Source organism: Homo sapiens, chromosome 7 (genome assembly GCF_000001405.40).
Source record: "Homo sapiens chromosome 7, GRCh38.p14 Primary Assembly".
Lineage (NCBI taxonomy): Eukaryota > Metazoa > Chordata > Mammalia > Primates > Hominidae > Homo > Homo sapiens.
In genome coordinates, this window is record NC_000007.14 from 55095532 (window position 1) to 55117741 (window position 22210).

At 44.0% G+C, this 22210-nt stretch overlaps 1 protein-coding gene across 11 annotated transcripts in view; it reads left to right on the plus strand.

Annotated features, from left to right (window-relative positions):
* The window catches only part of EGFR (epidermal growth factor receptor), a 192612-nt gene that overhangs the window by 76515 nt on the left and 93887 nt on the right, over window positions 1–22210 (plus strand). The window contains exon 1 of one of the 11 annotated variants that reach the window (XM_047419952.1): window positions 1–22210. This exon is cut by the window's right edge and continues 16688 nt beyond it. The exons of 9 other annotated variants lie outside the window; for them this stretch is intronic. The gene's annotated coding sequence lies outside the window, so the exon portion shown is untranslated. One more of the 11 variants, NM_001346900.2, reaches the window with a different exon arrangement.

Here is a 22210-nt window from a genome sequence, read left to right on the forward strand (position 1 = left end):
AGTTTCGCCTTTAGAACCACAATTCTCTGATATGTGCAATGAGAGAATTAATTATAGACTCAAAGGATTGCATGCAGACACACACAGATACAAACACATACACACAACACACAGAGTTACACACAGACATGCTCACAATACACAGAAATACACACAGACACACGCACACAGCACACAGAGATACACACAGACACACACACACACACACACAGACATACGCACAGATGGGCACACACAGAGACACACTCACAGAGACACACAGATACACACAGGCACACACACAGAGAGACATACACACAGCCCACAGGGATACACACAGACACACAGAGACATACCTACAACACACAGAGATACACACAGTCACACACAGAGAGACATACATACAATACACAGAGATACACACAGAGACACAGATACAGACACAGACAGACATACACACAGACACGGGCACACACAGAGACACACAGACACACACAGGCACACACGTGCAGATAAGGTAATATTAGCTAGTTCAGGAGGAGAAAGAGATAAAGATAAAGTAATATTAGCTAGTTCAGGAGGAGTGAAAGAAGCCTTGTTTTTCTCCACTTTTTATAGAAGAGAAAGTGAAGATTCGATTTGAGGTGAGTTCAGCACAAAAGCGTATCCCAGGCCCTCTGGCTCCAACTGCAGCCCTTTCTACCTCATTCCCAGACCCCACCTAAGCCTTTTCTCTTCAAAATCTTCTCAGGCACACTGATACACATACCTCAGATTTTTAATTCTCCGGTTGTGTTCACCAGGTGCTTGGTCATGATTAAGAATTCCGTGATGTGTACCCCATGTGTTTAAATTTGCTGCTGAGTTAACTTTGTGGCGGCCTGTGGACTAGACCTCTGCACATGCAATGCAGAACGGCAGGGCCAGATTTGAAATCCTGCTATCTTTTCGGCTGCCTTGTAAAAATAACATCAGGCGATGGGGATACGATGCCAGAGGTCACCTGTGATAAGTTCTGTTTATGGCCATTTTACTTCTAGGAAGACAGGAAGTGTCAGGATCTCAGGGATCTAGGAAGCCAAAATGTTTTTCCACTCTGAAATAAAGTGACTGACCAGGAGTTCCCGGCCACGCAGCCCTGTGGGAACTGCCGCACGGCCACTTTTATGAAGTGGACACGTGTTGGTCCCACTGAAAAGAAACTCCCCACCCATGGCTCCCTCACGCTGCAGCAGAGGCCCTGCCACAGCACCTGTCAGCCCCTGCCAGCTTGCAGGGGCGCAGGCGCAGAGCGGTTTGTGCCCTTGCTGGAGCCAGGGAAGGGCACAGGGTCCCTCCTGGAGTCATGGGAGGTGCAGCCGAGGTTCTATATTAAAATACAGAGGCTAGCACATGTGCTTGGGGAATGCAGCTACAGTAGTGGAATGAAAGTGCTGTCCGTTCCTTACCCCCCCAGCTCCTCACCTGTCCTCCACACGCATATCCCTGGCTCCCTTTCCCTAGTAAGGAGACTGAATTGAAATTGTGGCTTGCCCGAGGCTGCATACCTGTGCTCTTTCTGAAGCCCAAGTCACTGGCTCTAGAATTCTAACCTGTGAGGAAGCCACTGAGGATGTTTGTCAAAATACATATTTCTGTGCCTTGCCCCAGTTCCACGGCCCAGGAATCTGCAGTTTTCACAAGCACCCCCAGGTGATTCTGGTGGTGTCTTTGCACTTCTTCAAGGCAGTACTGCCTGGAACGCAGAATCCCAGCCTCCTCTATCCTCCTTGCCTAATGGCCTGGATGCTCTCAGATCTACAGGGGAAGGGAAGGTCACACAGTCATCGCAATAGTAACCTCAGCTGATAAATCCTCCCCCATAAAACTTATTCCCCAGTGTTTTTTAATAGGAAACAATAAAACTGTAACCAGCCCAAATATCCATCAAAGAGAAAATGGAGAAGTAAATCATCGCACATTCACCTGGACCAGATCTATTGTAAAGCCAATAATACTGAAGCCCCTTCCAAGGCCCTGGGAGTCCTAACAGTGCACTGGCAGTGTCTATAATTTATATTATGAAATTTGCATAAGGAAAACATTTTGTCTCATTTGTGCAATTTCTCCTTCTAAATATACGTGTCACTTTGTACCTGATTTCTATAAGACCCAGGACCTACAAACCCTGTGTCTGCCCCTGCAGCCACCCAGGGAAGGACTGCACAGCAGCAAGACAGATTGCCATGGAGCATGTTGTGCCCAACTAGGGACAGCGCAGATAGATTCTGTAATTTGCCTAACAATGTCTATAGGATGATCCCATTTGTCAAAAAAAAAAAAGAACTGGGCTTTATTGATGTCACCTAAATGCACCTAAACTTCTTTTTTGCCCCATGCTCTTCTGTACTCTTGATCTTTCCCCAAATTTTTAAAAACATGACACTCATTCCCTTATTTTTCCTACTTAGAAAAGTGTAGATGGTTTTATCATAGGAAGTTCAAAAAAATTAAAATATAATGAAAAATACTCAAATAGTGCCTCACAACAGTAACTACTGCTAACATAAATAAAATCCATATTTCCTCTCATACAGACCCCAGAGTTGCTTTGCCTGACAGTGTAGTTGATGGAGAAAATAATCTTTATCCTTAGCCTCCATCTGGTTGCAGACCATAAAGACAGGGAAAAAATGAGGGTGTTGGTAGCTTCGTTAGAAACTGAAAGCTCACTGATTTTTTCAAAACCTAAATAGCCTGTGTTTCTCCAAATAACTAATTTGCAGCCTTCGGCAGCCAGGACTGGCAGGGATGGGGCTAGGGGGACTGGGGAGAACTGCTCTCTCCTGAGGGTGGTCTGACCCGACAGCACGCATGACCTTCCCACAGTCAGGAACTGCTCAGAGACGTGATGGCAACTCCATAGAATGAAATACTCTTCAGCCAGTAAAATGTATTTTTGGATAAATATTTGCTTTAAAAAACTTTACTATATGTTGTTAAATGAAAAAAAAACCTTAAGGCATCAGAAATTATGTGCAGTAAAATCTCACTTTTGTAAATAAATATACCTGTTTACTACGTATGCATAAAAAGAATCCTGAGAAATATAAGTACTGTATGCATATTGTTGTTAAGTATTTTTTCTGTTTGCTTATCTATAATTCTAATTTTGCTTCAAAGAACAAGTTACTCCGGCAATATAAAAATAAAATAACTAATTTGTCTTGTCATCAAACAGATAGTAAGAACAGGCAAACCTGGCCCTCCACACTGCCAGCCTTTTGTGATTCAAGGCTTCAGTTTCCTCCACTTGTTAAAAAGATTCAACAAAGTAGTTGAAATAGTATGTGAACCAGTAAACCCTAAAAGGTGTCCAGTGTTGTCTGTGAGCTAATTAAGTGATTTGATTCTGACTCCCCGAGTCTTCTGATTTCGAAGCAGTGGGGAGTCAGACAGGAGCCTCAGGTGGCCTCTCCTGAGAGGCCCTGGAAAGTGATGAGAACCTGGCCTCTGGCAGCTCTTCATAAACGTCCATGTTTTCCCTCTACTCTCTCACTCTTTTCCCAGGGCCTCAAACAGAAGATGAAAATCAATTTCTAAAACAGCCCTCTGTGTGCTCTCTCGTATCTCTCCTTTTCACACATCGTGGTGGTGGCTTTCTCTGTGTTCCTCTGTTGATTCAGTCTCTGGAATTAACGGATCAGGATTCCATGCCCAGAATGCTACAAAGACTGTGCTTGAGTTCTCCCACATCTCACTCAATTACACAGAAGTTTCAGATTATGTAACAGATGCTGTGCTGGGTTAGGCAGAGCCATCTGACTTGTTTTGCTTTATTTTAGACCATGAGATGGGTGAGTTTTTCTTTTTAATGCCACATTCTTTTAAGAATTAAAAACCTCCACTTGGCTGTCAGCATTGGAAATCAGAGTGATGGTGCAAGCCCTGATGAGGACAATGTCCTTGTCTATGAAAAGGTGAAATCATTGCTTGAAATCGCTAAGCAGGACATGCAGTCCCAGATGGAGGGGGGAATTCGGGAGCTGGTTGGAAAAGAGTATTTGGCACTTTGCAGCCTTGAGAGGTGCAGAAGAGACACCGAGGGGTTCACCACCAGAGCCACCATTGTCAGAGAGGCGTCCAGCTGTGTCCACCTGGGACTCTGCCTTCAGGGCTTCTTGCCTGGCTGGGAGCTGCACAGGCAGACTCCTGGGACGGTGTGCCGACAGCTCTGGGCACCCCCTTCTAGGATCTGATTCCTGAGGAATCACAATGTGGATTTCACAATCACTTCCAGTGTCTTTTGCCAACCTCTGTGAACAGATGTGCAATTAAAAAAAAAAAAAGAAAGGGGCCCAATTCTCAACACTGTAAGTGGAAACTTTTTAATGGAAAAGGATAGGCTAATGAATTGAATTTGAAATCTGAGACAGAACCGATGCATCAAATGTGCTGGTGTTTACAGATAATACAAGGGGGGCTGCATCTTATGGTTTCAATCCTTTTTTAAATTTTTGTTCTGAGAGACCCAGCCAGCAGACTGCCGCCAGTCTTGTCAGAGATGTCAGTGGTGGCCACTCTGAATGGAAAGCAGCATCTCTCAGCATCTCTGAGGCACTGCTCCTCAGCGGAGACTGTGGTGGCTTTGCCTTTCAGCACGCATCCTTTCTACGATGCCTGACAGTGCCCAGGGAATGGGCAGAGCTGGGAGCTCTGAAGCCCTTTCACCTAAACCACCCTGGGTCACCTGACCTAGTTTTCCTCCCAATTTTAATTATGTCAGGCACTTCACAAAGGCCTCCTTGGGGACACCATGAGCTCACTGTCATCAGATTGCTCCAATCACAGCTGTGGCTTGCACACAACCGCCATCTCTGCCCCAGCAGATGCTGTGTGTAAACAGTTGTATTAATTACATCTCAAAAACATGGTTCTTGCCAGATCCTCAGGATTTGGGTGCAGCCTCTGAGGTGGGTGGGAGGCCCTCGAGGGAGAAATGTCTGCAGGAAATTCTTCCCCTACGAGAGGTCTGTTTTCTAAGTTATCTAAGAGCTACTGCAGCTGTTTACTGCAGAGTGACCCTGCTCAAAGCTGTGGTCACCCAAGGCTTTGAAAGGGGACCTCCACTTCCGCCCTGGGTGGAGCACCGTGCTGGAGACCCACGCCTGCCAAGGCCTCATTGTCATCTCCACACGCCGTCCTTGGGGTGGGCCACTCCTGGGACACGCAGACAGGAAGCCGGCCACCTGAGCCACTCGGAGGCTCTATCCAGAGTCAGCTGCCAAGCCTCACGTCACACATCACTGTTAGTCTTGGAGGGCTGGCGGGGCCCTGAAGTCAATTGAACACTTGGATGACAGGGAACTTGCCACTGCCAGAGGCAATATGCTCCATTTTTTTGACAGTTCCAACAATTTTTCTTTAAACTGTCATAAAAAATTGCTGCTGTGAATACCAGTGTCGGCGTCCCTGCCTCACCTTTACCTGGTGCTTTTCCACCACACAAAACTGTTTCTCCTCGTGCTGGCCTTGGGCTTGCAGACAGCTGATTCTTCTCCTCCCGCGGCTGAGCAGCCTCCTCCGAGCAACCCTCTGACAACTCTGCTCCTTCTGACAACCTCTGCAAGGGCTGCCAGATGTGAACAAGGGGCCCGGGCAGAAGGTATCCAGGAAGACTGGAAACTCGAGGAAGCCTGCCCTGTCCTGTCCACCAGACTTTACGCTTGCGTCACTGGGCTTTGGGACCTAAGTCCTCGTCATTTGTTCCTTTTGCAGTTCCTACTGTTCTCAGCACTTCCTTCCAGCTTACTGAGGTACACTCAGATGTGATATGCCATCGGTACAGACACAGTTCTGCTCCAGCATTTCCCCGTGTTCTTTCTGTCGCTCTATTTACTGAATTACCGTGAGGATGTGGAGCGAGGCTGAGTTCTGTATTTTAACACCATTTTAATTCTCACCTACTGAGAAATCCATCCTCTTATCACTGTGCTTTTTTTAACCTGTCACGAATCCATGAAATCCTATCAGCCAGCCTGCATACTTCCTTTTAAGGTGCAGTTGAATCAGGAGAAACTTGCCGCACATGCTGCGTCCGGGCACAGCATTGGCTGAGGCTGCTGCCCTGACCTGTCCGCTTTGTAGTACTGCCCAGCTATGAAACAGGTTAGCCACACATGACCTGCATTTAGGAGTAACAAGTCTGTCTGTACATGCACATACAGCAACTTTTTTAAACTGTCTATATTTTTTCCTGAGATAGGTATTTATAATATCTCCATCTTCTTTCCCATTTTGAAACTTAGAACAAGTTTGCCTGTCAACAGTTCTCCACAGCATACTGTGTATTCTAGGATTTTCTAAGGTTGAGCAACGGAGGTTCAGCAATTTTGACTTAATTTCTTCCCATCCCTTTTCCACGCAGCCCAGAAGCCTTGGATCACGTGGTGAGGGGAAGAGGTTGTGCTATGTCGGGAAACTCTGTATCGAAGCTCGGCTCAGATCATGACATTCTCTTGACTAAAACCCTCAGTTTCCATCAAACTTGTCACTCTGGCATTAAAGCCTGTCACTGTGTGGCTCTGAAAACCTCTCTGAACGTGTTCCCTGCCTCTGCCCTGCAGGTCCCTGTGCTCCACAGAAGCCCACTTATGTGACCCACCCCCACTCATCACCACCTTCCCTCACCCAGAGCCTCAGCTCCCCACTCCCACCTGTAAGACCCCTACTGGAAAGATTCCCACCTGCCCCTCAAGATTAATCTCCAAGGACATTTCCAAATTCCTCTCCCCATCTCTCAGCCAGATGGCTTTGCTCCCTCCAGGAACCCCAGCCACCTTCGACCTCCAGCAGGGCACTCCACTCCACATTCTCCTGGTCTGTCTGGCTCATCTTACCTGAGCCATGCTCTCCAGGTGAAGGACTATGTCTAACTCAACTCTGCTTTAAAAGCAGCTAACACATTGCTCTTTGCATATTGTTCACTCACTAAGTTGAACTGGACTTGGACATGCACACTGAACTGCAGCGTCTGCTGCTTCTTGGTGGCCCAGCTCGTCAAAAGAATAAGATTTCAGCAAAACAATGTAACAATTTTTTTTACCAAAAGTAATGTTAACAATATATGGTTTTCCCCTGATGTTTGCGTCAAAATGCTTTTTGGAAAAAACATTTTTCAACTCTTTAGGGTCAGAATTAAGCAATGAAATTTATATACCACATGTATAATGTGTATGTTTATCTAAGTATCTGTTCATTTATATATCTTAAATAGAAATTTTAAAAATTTTTTTAAAACTCCTGATAAACATTCTCAGGAGGCACACTATGTAACTGTTGGTTGATATACCTAGCTAGATGGTGAAATCAGATTTTGTTTAAAGCATGGAGGAGAGGGAAAAATTAAATCTTGCAGATTCTGCAGTCCTTAACATCTTTGAAAGAGGAACATTTCAGACAATGTAATAAGAAGGCCACGTGCTTTGACTTCTGTAGATTTTAAAAATACTTCTGTATAGTTTCTTCTTCCTTTGAAGAAGTTTGGGGAGTTTGGGAAGATGGAGAAAGATATAAGAATAGACTCCCCATATGGGTCATGAATTATCTTTTTGCATCAGAACTCTTAGTGCAGTTTCAGTATTTTCTTCCTCAGGAGGGTGAGCTGCTTCCGAATGTCCTCCCCTTCTTTGAGGCATCCTCTGTTGGTGAACTTTGAGAGCATCCATTTATGAAGTTGATGACCTTTCCCAGTCTCTGCAAGCCCTTCAGTGTGTGTCCTCTCTGAGCAAATCTGAATTGTGTGCTTAATACATGGAAAGGGATTTGGGAGGGTTGCTTTTTAAACTGATTTCTTAATTAATATTATGGTTTAGTTAACTAGACAGTCTCATTGCAGAAGTGCATAACCATAATATGTCTTCAAATATATCTCCCTTCCTAACACCCTGTAATATACTTTTGTAAAGATACCCTTACAGAATGTGATCCACCATTTATGAACCTGCAGCATTGCATTCAGAGACTAAGTGAAAAGCTGGCAGATTTTCATTTAAAGCACAAGCTAAGGAAGAAAGCTGGTCTAGAAGGAGCTACAGAAGGGTAATGCTTAGGGAGGGAATGATGTGCCTGTGGGTGGTGGTAGTTAAATCTAACCAAAGAATGATGTCGTGGGTGTTTGGATATTGGATGGTCCACATTGGGCCACATTCTTTCAAACATAAGAGTCTGTAGAAATATGACCTGTAAAAGACTCTTAAATATTCTGGAAACTGTTTCTTCCTTGTCACATCCTTATATATACTTGAACCTATGCCTACCAGACATGACATGTGACTATTCATACAGATTTCATCATCTCTGGTTTAAGAATAAAGGATGCTGCATAGAAGGCTCACATCTTTTAATTCACAAGACTGAAACTGTTCTGAAATGACATTGTTTCTAAAAATTCATTACTTGCATTATATTCATTTTTATTTTTCCATGCCAGAAGGGTAGAAGTTCCTGTGCTCATATTAAGAAACAGCAATGTCAATCGAGGCCCAACTCAAATCCAATTTATAGGAGTTATAAAGGGCGTGTGCCTGTTTTGTCTAGAAGCAGTGTTGGGCAGCACTGAGTAGGATAGACCACCTGTTGCTACCGATAAAGGAGCAGCTTCTCGAATGCTCCTGTCTGGTAGGCACTATCCCGAGTGCTTTGGCCCCTCATCCACAATCTGTGTGGCAAAAGGCATTGCAGGCAATTCAGTGAGGAGACCGAGGCATGGAGAGCAAGTGCCATGGAATTCCCTAAGGCCGTGCAGGGAGCAGGTTGCCAAGCTGGGTTGAAACCGTCCTCCGTAGGCTCCCAACTCCGCCGTCGCTGCTACTGTGCTGGATGATGCCTGGTAGATGCAGATGTGGAGCCCCATGGATTCTGAGACAGGCCGGGTTTCAGTCCTGCCCTAGCTGCCTATTGGCTGGATGACCTTGGCAAGTTGACTTTCGTGAGCCTCATTTGTCTCATCTCTCAATTAAGAAAACCTAGAGCCTATCTGTGGGGGTTATCTGAAGGATTCCAGGGATGCATATGGCACTGTCTACCGCATGCGGTAACTGTTTCACAAATGATGAGGAGCGATTTATGTTCTTAGTGGAAATATGTCGGCGTGTGAAGTCCCAAAGCTCTGCCCTGCCTGGCTTGATCCAGTGCCTAGGCACTGCCCCTCTTCCCCTCTCTCCCAACCCACTGTAAGAGGCTAGGCTGCCTCAGTAACTCTGAGGGGCATTGACTCTTTTCATCCAAAAATTCATGTTACTGCCCCACATTTTTTCTGTTGTTTTACAACGCAGTAGGAAGTGGGCAGACTGTCAGGAAAAGTGATTTATAGTCATGTATTGCTTGTGCTTTGGCTTCATTTGATCCAATGCAGATCAGCTGCACTCAGAAAACTACTCAAGTGAAAGAGAAAAAGTAACTGAAGGGGGAAATCTGGATGAGTAAGAATTCCAGGGATAGGAATATTAATAGCAAGCTTTTTGCCTGATATAGTCACTTTATGCTGCAGGGGTGCCCCTTTATAAAGTGCTTGTACAATGGATGTTTGCTTTTGATTTTGGATTTGGAGTCTAATGAATGTTCTAAATTATTATTAGAGGAGCTTGCGGTTGTTACATGTCTGCCTTTATTGCTTATTTTTAGCCATCTCCCCTGATGTCAAATGCTCAGGCAAGAATGATACATTCATTTATAATGTGGCTCCTTCAGAAATATACCACATACCTTTTGGTGTGGTTTGTGGCTGAGAAGAGTGGGGAATGCACAAGTGGAAAACTGCAGAAAGATTATGCCTTCATCACTTCAAGTATTTGAGATGAAACTAGATCATTTGCTGTTGCTTTTTATTCTCATTCTAAGTGCTTTTCAAAGTCAGCGCTAAGATTTTAAAATGGTTTTCTGTTGTTGGCAGAGAGGGAATTACTCTATTACTTTCTGATAAAACAGAGTCTTTCATGATCAAAGAGAACCAGGCTCTAGTAGTTCCAGTATCCTAACGTGGACACTAATTGTTTCCCTCCTTTTCTTCATGAAAACAGCTTCTGCACAAATGATAGCCTTGTGAACTAGCCATGGGCACAACTGGAGAAGCATTTAGGGAGCTTTAGTGCAAATTGAGACCACCTACACATCTGACTCTACAGGGTTTGACAACATCCAGGGTGAATCACAAAACATCAGTCTAATCAGGGCTTATATAGAAAGAGTGAAAGAACTCTGATTTCATCCTAAAGATTATTTATATTAACCATTGTTCCAAATGCATTAACTATTTTAATTTAGTTGTTTTGATTGTTAAAAAAAACACATCTGTTTGGTAGATAAGACATAATTTAAGACAAATGTTCTATTTGATAAGCTTTTAGAAACAACTTATTTTTATTCTTTCCTGTGAGATAACTCAGATGTGGAGAATGTGACAAAATTTTAAGCATAACATGAGAAGGGCTGACACACATAGATTTCTGTGTGCTTACTTGAAAACAACAAAATTTAAGAATTTGGTATAGGAGTTGTATCAGGTAGTGCAGAGTCCCCAGGAGACCTAGAGACCCAGGTCTGGGAGCCTAGCGGCAAGGGCTGAATGTGGGATGACATCAGCAGAAACTCACAGCCACTGCTATTCCAAAAACCCAGCAGCAGCTCAGTGCAGGGCAGTGCTGATAGTACAGTGCCTGCAATCCTGGAGTGGATTTGGATGTGTCAGGTACGCACACGCTCACTGCTCCCCCAGCAGTACGTTGAACAGTGTGCGTCCAGGTGTCTGTAGGGCCCCTCGCCCTAACTCACAAAACCATTCTGGGTCAGAAGCCACCAATATTGTCATCATCCTCCCTTTTCTGAGAACCCTAGTAAGTCCCTCCAGTGGGGCAAGCCCACCTTTTCCCTTCATTCTGTGGCAATATGCCTTCATTTCCTAATCAGTTTTGCCCTGCTCATTCAATGCAAAATGGATCTGCTTTCCTTGGGCACCAATATGTCCAGGGATTGTTTATCAATCTTCAGTTCTGTTTCCTTTACATATCCCTCCAAAAATCAGGCCTGCACTGCCTGTGCACTCCACAATCCACAGGCCTGAAGGAAATGTTATCTTTGATGTAGAGACTTAAAGTAAAACTCTTCAAATTAATTATTTCATGCAAAAGGCTAGTCCTGACTCTAATTCTAAGACATGTCTCCTAAACTCTGGAAGTCTGATGTATCCTATTATCAACATTTATCCTTAATGTGATGGTTTATCATTTATCCTCAAAGCTGCATTGTAAAATGTACACTGTAAAGTGTACATTTTAAAGTCGGTTTTAAAAAATCATATTTAGAGATCCTGGTAAAAATCTATCAAGTCAAGACATTACCTTATTACCCATGGAATTGTCTTCAACTCTTACAGTTCAAATATTCCTGAATTGGCTTTCACAATAAACATCCTAAATATGTAAGTAGAAACATATATATTGCCAACTTTGTGCCTTCCCAAGCAAAATTAAAATACAGGAAAAGTCAGTTTGTTTTGCCCATAAATAAATATATGTGTGTGTGTATGTGTGTGTATACACATACACACTCAGAAAAGATAGAAGCAGCAGCATATTTTGGCAGCATCTGGTTTATTGGAACTCAAACGTTCTGATTGTGCATACAGACTAGTTAATGTGGTAACAATTATGTATTTCTTCCCTGCTCCTTGCCTTCTTTCCCTCCCCAGTTTTTTTCTTCCTGATAGTAGGTGTGTACTTTTTTCCTATTTCCATTGGCAAGCCACATGACAAGCAAAACGATCACTCGAAGAATATTGTTCCCTCAATCAAGAAAAATGCCCATTGGGTTTTGTTATTTGATGTTATTTGATGACAGAGACCTATTGTTTTTCCATTTTTCTTTTTTTGTTTTCCGTGGCACCTATGGAATTAAGCAATATAAAAAATCTATTATTTCAGATGTTCACGTCTAATGAATTTCATGTGAAATACTGGCAGTATAACCCCAAATAGAGGAAATTTGTGAAGAGTGGATGCTGCAGGGCATGAGACATCTGCACAGAGTTCATCTCTTCCAGCATCTTGCATGTCCCAAGCACTGCCCTGCCAGGCAGAGAATGCTGCAGATCACGGCAGTGAATTCCAGTTGTTCAGAGCACATTTGACTTCCAAATTCTCAAGGCCACAGATTTGAGGACAGAACAATATTTGCATTTGAAATTGGAAGATTATTTTTTGCACAAGTGCCTATATGCTATATAGAGTTTGCCCACTCTGCATTATCTTCCCCCTGTTCCCCCGTTATCTGGCACAAGCTATTCAAAAGACACGCCTACTTGTAAAATAAATGGTTTGCAAACTAAGGAAAATACTTAAATCTCATGTAAATGGTACTATACTATGTATAAAAATGTGAAGAAACACAGAACAGCTCATGAACACCTCCACTGCTGTATAAAAGAACCATCTTTTTTCTGGCTCCTATTGGATGCCTTAGAAAAATCTGTATTTCCTCTTTAGTTATTGTGTTTGAAAGATGAAGTTGAGACAAAAGTTCTATTCTTTTTAAGTTGGCAGAACTTCTGAAAGGTGATTTTTAGCTGCAGTGTGACTCATTCCAAATGCAGAAATCTCTGACCCTGAGTTAGTCTATTTGTCATGCAAGAGCCTAGAAAAGCCCTGAGTGATAAGAAATGGCCATAGGCCATTCCCACAGAATTTTCAACAAAAATAGAATCATGCTTATGTTCTAGTCATGACTTAGAACTTATAACTCATGTTCGGAACTGTCCATGTTCACGCACAGGGGCCGTATCACTCCGCCAGAGCTGCCCTGGGTGCCGGTGTGCAGAGGGGTCCGAGAGTGACTGTCTCTTCCTCTGTTGTCGAATGTGTGGGTTATCTCCATAAATGGCTGCCATGAGCATCCTTGTTCACACATTTTTAGGTACTTGAGTGAGTGTCTGTGGAATAATTTTGGGAAGTGAAATCTGTGGTCAGAGGTTTGTGAGTTTTACATGCTACATTTTCAGAAGTTGAGAAATAGCAGTAGGCTGAAGGCAAGTCGCCATGCCTGGAATTCATGAACACTAGTTGAAAGAACTGGCGTGAGTTAGTCATGACAGGAGAGATGGGGAAGGGAGTTGCAGGTAGGAGGGCCATCTTCAAATTCTCAAAGTATAGTCACTCCAAACCAAAATTCGATTTAATCTGTAGGACTCCATTCTCAAAGCACAGTCACTCCAAACCGAAATTCGATTTAATCTGTAGGACTCCAGGTGGCAGAATAAGAGGCAATGGATGGGTGGAAGCGAAACAGGGCCAAAGTTTGACTTCATGTGCAACTTCCTAAGGAGTGATTTGAACTCCACAAACATGAACTAAGCACCTCAACACAGGCTGGGCAAGTTGCTGTTCTTTTGGAGCTTACATCTTAGTGGGGAAAGAGAAATGCCTATGTAAACATATAAATCAGCAGGATACATTGTGAGGACGGTCATTGCTCAGTGAGACTGCAATAGAGTGATACGCTGGAGGGGGCTGCAAGGGAGAAGGTGGGAGGGACAGCATTTAGCAGAATGAGCAGCACAGTCCCATAGGAAGAAGAATTTATTGCCTCCTTAGGCAAATAAATTCCCAAACCTTGAACATCAGAAAGGAAATAGATTAATGTGCACAGAGGATTAAATTATGTGATCTGCAAAGTCATTTAAAATCTATTTCCACATAAAACATATTAATGCAACCTAAACAAAAGGGGTCTGGATACCCTCATCTTCTTCCCAAGCATCAAGTCTTTCTATAGTTAAACTGAGATGCTTTTATTCTTGGAAAATTTTAAGGACTATCTACAGCAATGGAAGAATCGGGTGTTGGGATGTGTTCCCAGGTAATAATGACTGCAGGCTGATTTGGCCCTTGAGGTGTGGCCTCATGGCCCTCTCCAAAAAAAATCAAGGACCTGCTACAAAGCACAAAGCCGACTGCAATGCTTGCTGCTTACTGGTTAGGGCAGCTCCTCTTTGCCAGCGACCAAGCAGAAAGCAAGACAAGACAGGTTCTGAAGCAGTAATTCAAAGCCTTCCTCGCTTTCCCATGTGAGTCATTGCTAGTCAGAATATTACCTTTGCAGAGAGGCTTAATTCCAAATTTGCTCTTAAAGGGATATCCTCTCCTGGTTTAGGTATAAACTTTTGACTCACAGGACAAATTCTATCATTCCTTTGGGCCTAGGATTGCATTTATTTCCATGACAAAAGGGCCTGTCTGGTGTTTCAGCAAATGAAAACAAAAATATAAAGCCCATCTCCTTTTGAATGAGCTCTAAAACAGTTCTCCACTGGACTTCAGAACAAGAGGGAGCTCTGGGCTGCTGGCTGGTTGTGCATTTGCTGTGGGTTCCCTCCGGCAGGCGACCTCTCCGCGCTGAGAAGGTTATCCGGATAACCAAGTAAGAAAGTACATGAGGAGGCACAGAAAGAAAAATGTGAGAGATAACAGCATAAACACACAGTGTATGTTGTTATGAGGCATCACATGATGAGATACTGCTGGGGAGGGAAGAAGTGAGGAGATTCCTAGGAATCTTATGAGAATTTCCAGAGACAACAAGTTTTGAGCTTTTTTTTAATTTAGAAAATTTACCTTATTTTTAAAAGAATATGTAACATATCCCATGCTATAAAATTCTAGACATAGTAGATTTAAAACAGCATAATGGAAAATATAAATATCTATTTTCTTTTCCTATTTATGTATTCTGTGCCAGTAGGAATGTAGCCAAAAAGAGAGAAAAGGGGTCTCTGCAGACATGGATGTCTCTGTGACTTGATCACTGCTAACCCAAGAAGATAATAAAGCAGAAGCATGTATCCAGGTTGCTGCAGCCAAGCCTGCCCGGTCTGCGGGGCGTCCTCACACATGGGGCAGCTCTCCCACCCCACACACTGGGAAAGGCGGACAGAGGCTGGGCAAAGCCCCCAATTTTCGTTGGCACTGACCCCGATGATTTATAGGCCTTTGTTTCCCATGTTAAATGTCTTACGATCATTAAATTATTTATAGCTCAATTAGCATGTGTCCAAAACCAGGAAGTTCATAGGAGACTGTGTGACTGGGAATTAAGGAGCAAAGCAACTTTCCAGTCTGTGATTTACTGGGTTTCCATTCTGTTTCCTGTTCGGATCCGGAAGTAGAATTTCAAATATTGCTTTTCATGCTTTATTTGGGACCGATTTTAGCCCCGCTCTCCTTTCTCTTGCCATTCGCTGGCCATTAGCCACCAGCCTCTGCACAATGACCAGCTGGCCCCTGGCAGATCTTGGGCCCAGGTGTGAAGTCGCTGGAGAAGCATTTCAGGGCCAAGATGGGAGTGATTTCATTTTCCATTGACACTATGCAGAAATGAAGGGGATTCAAGTGCCTTCAGAAAAGCTTCCTTCCAGCGAATGGAGTTTTGGGGGTTTTCCAGACTTGCAACTGCTTTTATTCTTGGAAGCATCATTGTTGCTTTTTCCCCCCTTCCATTTATATCCCAGGAACTGATTCAGAAACCATAGAAATTGGATTTGGAATCGCTGAATGCTAGCAGACAGCTGACTGCACTCTTCCCAAGAAACCCTGCCAGCTGGGTTCGGGTATCGCGCGGTGTGTGCTCTCTCTGCCTGGCCCGCTGAGTCCTCTAACTCTAATGGATTCCTTCTTACACCAAAGTGCACTAGAACTAAAGTGTTTTGCTTCATTCTTTAGACATTTTGTGGTTTAGGGCTCAATCAGCCAGGGTATGATTTGCAATCCACAGTAACCGGTTTCAGAGCAGCTGCCCAGCGAGGCAGGTTTCATCTCGCTTGCTAGACGTTTTGTTTTTTTTTTTTTCTAAACCTCACACCTTTTATTTATTAGACTTGGATTCCAGTTTCCTGAGCCTGTTTGTGCCACTGATTAGACAGGCTTGAAGCAGAACCCACCAGGCTTCCTGAATAAAATGCAGCAGTGATTGTATTAGGGGGTTTTAAATTGCTCAAAATACTGTCTAAAAAACACTAAAAATCATGTTACTTTCTAGATTGAATAAAATCCTATAGAAATGAATTCCTGGACTTGATATGTAGCAAGCTGGCATTGGCTCGGGAGTGAGTGGGCTCAGTTAAGTGAGCTAAGATGAGATGGTGCACAGGCGAGCACCCACCTGAGGAGTGTTTGGATGTTATGATAGCCAGCTCCTCTGTAAAGACCTGTCCTTCTATGTCAGCAGCCCAGCAGATAAATGACGTGTAAATACCACATTTAGGAGGGCTTATGATGATGCCAATTAATGGAGACCTTTTTGAAACAGGAAGGAGGTGAAACATATTCCTTTGCTTCTACATCACTGTGTGCCAGGCACTGTTTACAGCATCTCGTTTAACCAGCAGTCACCACCTGACGGATGGCTGATGTGGGGTGGGGTCCCAGGGTGGGATTGCGTGATGGGCTTGGGGTCTCTGGCTGATGGGTGCCAGAGCTGGGACTGGAACTCCTGGCGTGACTGAGGCAGACACCTGGGCTACCCAGCCTCACCCACGACGCCCTCACTAAGTGACCCACAGGACTCACCGGAAGCAGGGCAGCAAGGTCCCCCTACAGAGGTCCCCACTGCAAACCGATACCCAGCTTAGACAGCAGTTCTGCAGTCGGCGTCTCACCCCTTCGGGTCTCATTGTGACTCACTTTGATAGCCACACGATTTAAGGGTGGTTCAGTAGTGATTTGATGAGTGCTGTGGCTCAGGGTCATTCCCCTGCCCAAGCATTTCAAATTCCAGAAGTTCATGCCCTGCATGGTGGGTGAAAAGTCTCAGGCCAACCATGAGCACACAGCAGCCAGGCGACTGAGGCAGCTGCCCGGGGTGGCACGTTGCTCAAACCCATCATTTGGAGTCAAAACAAACAGATGATTAGCTGGGGTGGTCACTTTCAATCAAGAGTTTTCACATCGCCTAGACATGGCCTCAGAATCAGGCCTGGTGTGGCCAGGGGCTGATCTCACAGTAGACAGGAAGTGTGGCCCGAGGGCCATGGCTGCCCCCTCAGAAGGCCCTGTGGAGTGGCTGGCCGAGCCTCAGCAGCCTCCTGTGAAGCGAGGAAGGGTCTTCCTGCCGGCCTCTGGAGATCAGTATGGGAATGCACAAGTAGGAAACGCTGGATGGGAATCCCTCTGCCCTGTGATACCAAGGCAGTGAGTTTGTAGACTATGGAATTGCTGTCGGAGGGCTCTGTAACCGGCCAAGGTCACACAGGTAGCCATTGGTAGAGCAGGGACTGGAATCCCAGACCCCCAACTTCCAGGACTGTGCACCTTTCTTTATCCCATACAGCCTTACAGTCAAGTGCCAGTGCAACACCTGATTCCCAGGTTCCAGCCTTTGTCTTTTATAATGGGAATCAACCTTATCTTGACGATCCAGAGATAGTCATCAAGGAAGATTAAATTATCCCCTTAGACTCAGAGTGACCATATCATTTTCCCTCCACACAAGGACACTTTTGAGAATGAAAAGGAGGAGATGTCTGTACCAGACGCTGGATGACAGGCACCGACAGGCTGTCTGCCAGGGGAGCAGCGATTCCTGTATGTTGTAGAAAGTTTTTCAAAAGTCACCTTGGAAAGAGGTTTTGTTCCTTAACCTTCTGTTAAATAGGAAGCTCCGTGAATGAAAACAACTCCCTTCCCTAAACATTCTAGTAATGACCCAACACTGCCAAGCCTGCCAGCTCTGCCTCATGGTCGTGTTGACTGTGTGAGACTATGTGAGTGCCTGCTACACAGTACGCTTTCAGTAAACATGGTATTGCCTCGATAATCCCACAAAAATGTCCTATTCAAATCACCTGGCACCCAGGAAATTTCCTTCTTTTTTTTCCCAGGTGAAATATACAGTTGAAAACACCTGACAGCAATTCCCCTCTCCCATGTGTTTGCAGGATGGTGGTTTTGGTTCCTCCATCTTTGATGTGTACAAGTGTGATGTTTTCCCCCCACAGACAAGTAAACCACATTCTCTTCACATTCCCAATGTTTTGTCAATGTACCTCCTTCAATAGAGGATCGATAAGGAAAAAAATCATTGACAATCTCAATTAGATTCACTATTTCATCCAAAAGCATAGCTTAGAACTCTAGTTTTTGTTCAACACTCTTGCCCTATGAGTGCACAGAACTTTAATTCTGATACAAACATCCCTGAATGTTTAGCTTTGACAGAGATTCCAAGGTGATTTGATAAGAAGCAGGGCTGTGTTTGGGCTCTGGGAGTTTTTGATATGGTTTCAAGCCCCATCCAAAACCCACAGACCTCTAGAAAGTAGGTGCCTGCCTTCCTGCAGCAGCCCTGGAGCCTGCTGGGGGCTTTGAGCAGCTGCTGCCAAGCCAGGCCTCACCCGACACTCTGATGGGCACGGCCATGGTGGCAGGGGCTTGGACGCTGCCAGGTGACTCTAACTTGTGGCCAGGGTGGGAAGCACTGCTCCACAGAGGTGCCAAAACCAGGTTCCTTCCTGTGTTCTCACATTTCACAGCCTCAATGTAAAAAGTAAGACATGGGCACTCTGGAATATTACAAAAATATAGAAAAGCATGTTATAGTAAATAAAAGGCTCACAGAATTTTGTCATTTAGGAACAATGATTATTAATATATTAGTGTGTGTTTTTGCTCATTAACAGTATATCCTGAGATATTTCCTATACCATTTAATATTTTAAAAGATGTTTACACTGGCCACAGTAGCTCATACCTATAATCCCAACACTTTAGAGGGCAAGGCAGGAGGATCACTTGAGGCTTAAAAATTAGCCAGGTGTAGTGGCACATGCCTGTAGTCCCAGCTACTCAGGAAGCTGAGGCTGGAGGATCACTTGAGCCCAGGAGTTCAAGGCTGCAGTGAGCTATAATTGCACCATTGCACTCCAGCCTAGGTGACACAGTGAGACCCTGTTTCTAAAATAAATAATAAATAAATTAAAACATTTAAAAATACATGATGTTTAATTATTAGAGGACTCAATTTTATATCTATGTATACAATAATTTTTAAGTTTCTTAATATTGGACTTTTAGTACCTTTTTAAAAATACTATTTTTAAAAAAATCTGTATTTCTAACTTTTTATAACAAGGAACCTTTGGCTTTGAGATGACTGGGGAATCCATTCTTTCCTATAGTATCCATGTCCAATGGACTTAAAGTATTAATCAATGTGTTTATGTTTTGTTATTTTTCTGGCATTACAAAAAATTCTAAATATATTGTTACCGCCTGTATAAATATCAGCTTTTGAGAGAAGGACATTGTGTAGAAATAATGAAACACTGCAACTTGTATTTGTATTATTCTTTTTTTTTTTTTTTTTTTTGAGATGGAGTCTCGCCCTGTCACCCAGGCTGGAGTGCAATGGTGCGATCTCTGCTCACTGCAAGCTCCGCCTCCCAGGTTCACACCATTCTCCTGCCTCAGCCTCCTGAGTAGCTGGGACTACAGGTGCCCGCCACCGCGCCGGGCTAATTTTTTGTATTTTTAGTAGAGACGGGGTTTCACCATGGTCTCGATCTCCTGACCTCATGATCTGCCCGCCTCAGCCTCCCAATGCACTGGGATTACAGGCATTATATTATTCTTTAAATTCACATGAGAATTTAGTATGGCTTCAAAAAATACCATAAGTTAAAATATCACCAAGACTCTGTTCAGACAAAAGTATCAGAAAAGTGAGCCAGGCACTCACATAGTTTATAGTTTATAAAAGTGAGACAGGCATGATCTCTTAACCTCACTATAGTCCTGTGAATAAGGTTTATTTACATTTCATTTTACCTGCCAGGATTATTGTAAAAACGCCAAGCACATTGCCTACACAAACTAAATATTCAGTCAATGGCTGCTATTTTCATGAGTTCGTTTTAACATATATTTATTGTCCTCTACTGGATTTAAGAAGTTATATTTATTATCATCTAAGATTTTAGCTATTCCTTCTCTTAAAAATAGATTTTATAATCAATGGCAGTAAGGGAGAGTAACTCGCAGTTCTCTGAATCTCAAGGGGTTCCTGGAAGCCTTCCTGAAGGTATAGTGAAATTTCAGCTTCACATTCCCATCCATGAGCTCCCTGCAAATATCCCGGTCTGCTCTCAGGACCCAGTGACTTACCTATGCAGAGGCTGTAGATAGCACCTGGAGCTTCCTGTGTGCCCTCCTCAAACTCAGCCAATGCCGTCATACAGTAGCAGGCAGGTGTCTTTGCTGGGTAGTTGGACTGGATGTCCCTGGGATTGCAGAACTGGAATGGGGAGTGACATCAGGAAACTATAATCATCAGGACAACATGGTTTGCCATAACTTTAAGTTTTAAGCGACCGCAGATTATGCGGAGAGAGATGCATGCCCACAGCCATGCTTCCCATGTAACTGGAGAGGGGTCTGAAGTTTGAAACAAGTGTTCCTAGGCACGGGTTACAGTGTTTGTTATCATCATACTTGATTTAGAATGGGGCACAACATGTGGATTCATGGTAACTGTTACAACCTTACTCATTTTAATACCTGAAAACATGCTTTCCCCATGCTGGGAATCGAAAGATTCTCCTAGGAAAAGAAAGGCTTGACAACATCGATTCAAAAAGGGCATGCATTTTCCTCATTTAAATAACTCTAATGTGCAAGTAGATCCCCTGACCTCAAGCTCAGAAGAGTCCAGGCCTTCACACCTTCTCTGCTTCTGCTCTGGGGCCAGCTATTGAGATTCCTGTGCCCACGCAATGCGCACATCCCACCCCTGGCCGCTGTCCACAAGAAATCCAGTTGCACCAAGCACCCCACTTTTTGCACCTCTCATTTATGTACTCCTAAGAGCCTCACCACAACTCCCTTCTAAAAACATGAGTTCCTGACTGGGAATTCGATGCTGCCCAGGCAGCTTTGCTCAGAGGGAGCAGCCTTCTAGAAATGTTTCAAGTAAACTTTCAAGTATAACTAAATTCAAAAAAAACACATACACACACACACACACACACAAGTCAAAGGTGTGTAATTTGGCCAATATCACAAACCAATTAGCCCTTTGTAAGTGGCACCCAGATCAGGACAGCTGACCATACCAGCACCCTAGAAGCACCCCGTGCTGCCTCCTGGGACAGGGCTACCACCATCCTAAGGCCAGCACGATGGGCCAGCTTTGCCTGCTGTTGAATTTTGCTTACATAGAATCCTCCAGTAGGTACTCCTTTGGGTCAGGTTCTTTCACTCAACATTATGTGTTGATATTTTTCCATGCTGTGCTGCAAAATTGTATTTCTTGCATTCCATAACTGGGCAGTTCCATCATAGGAGAATACCACACTGCGTTCGTCCATTCTACCGCCAATGGACATATGGGTTCTTTCTCTTTTCTTGCAGTTACAAGTTTATGAATATTGTCCCACGTGTCCCTGGTGAACTTTTGTTTGCATTTCTGTTGGGTACCTCAGAGTGGCGTTGCTGGGTCAGAGGGTACTGGTCGCTTTAGTAGCTTTGAAAGATATTGCCAAAACATTTTCCAGCGCAGTTATAGCAAATTATACACCACCAGCAGTAGAAAACATCTCCTAATTGCTCACAGTAAACCCCCAAAGATTGCCACATACATCTTCCATATCAATTACTTAACTATTCAGCAAATTTGAAGGGAAATATATTTAATCTTTTTATTCAAATAGTTTATAAAGTGGAATAGAGATGTGGGTAAAAGTTGTCTTGCCACCTTTTTAGATCGGTAAAAGTTTGTTGAATGCAGGCAAGAAAAGATGAGAAATAATGGTACCCAATGAAAGACATAGCAGTCTACAAGGAGGGGCATTTCCCGGGGTGGGGGGGACCCACACTCTGTAACTCCCACATTCAATTAGCATGTTATAGGTAAGCTGCAGAAAACGAGGCAGCTTGTCAAAGAGGAACGGCTCTTGGCCATGGTTGCTGCCCTAGGAGGATATTTGATACTAGCAGAGCTGGGGCAACCCTGGAGGAAACCACCTGGAATGATGGGAGAACTCCTCCAGGGAACATGGCCCTTTAATAGATCTCTGTTATAAAAAATAATCCCAAAGCAGCCACCAGGGCATACTGCTGCGATCAAGTCCTAGGCGGTATTCCCTTCTGCGCCATAGACCCTGTGCAGAGTGCCCTCAACGAAGGAGCAAGGAAGACCAAGTCTCCCGAGGGTT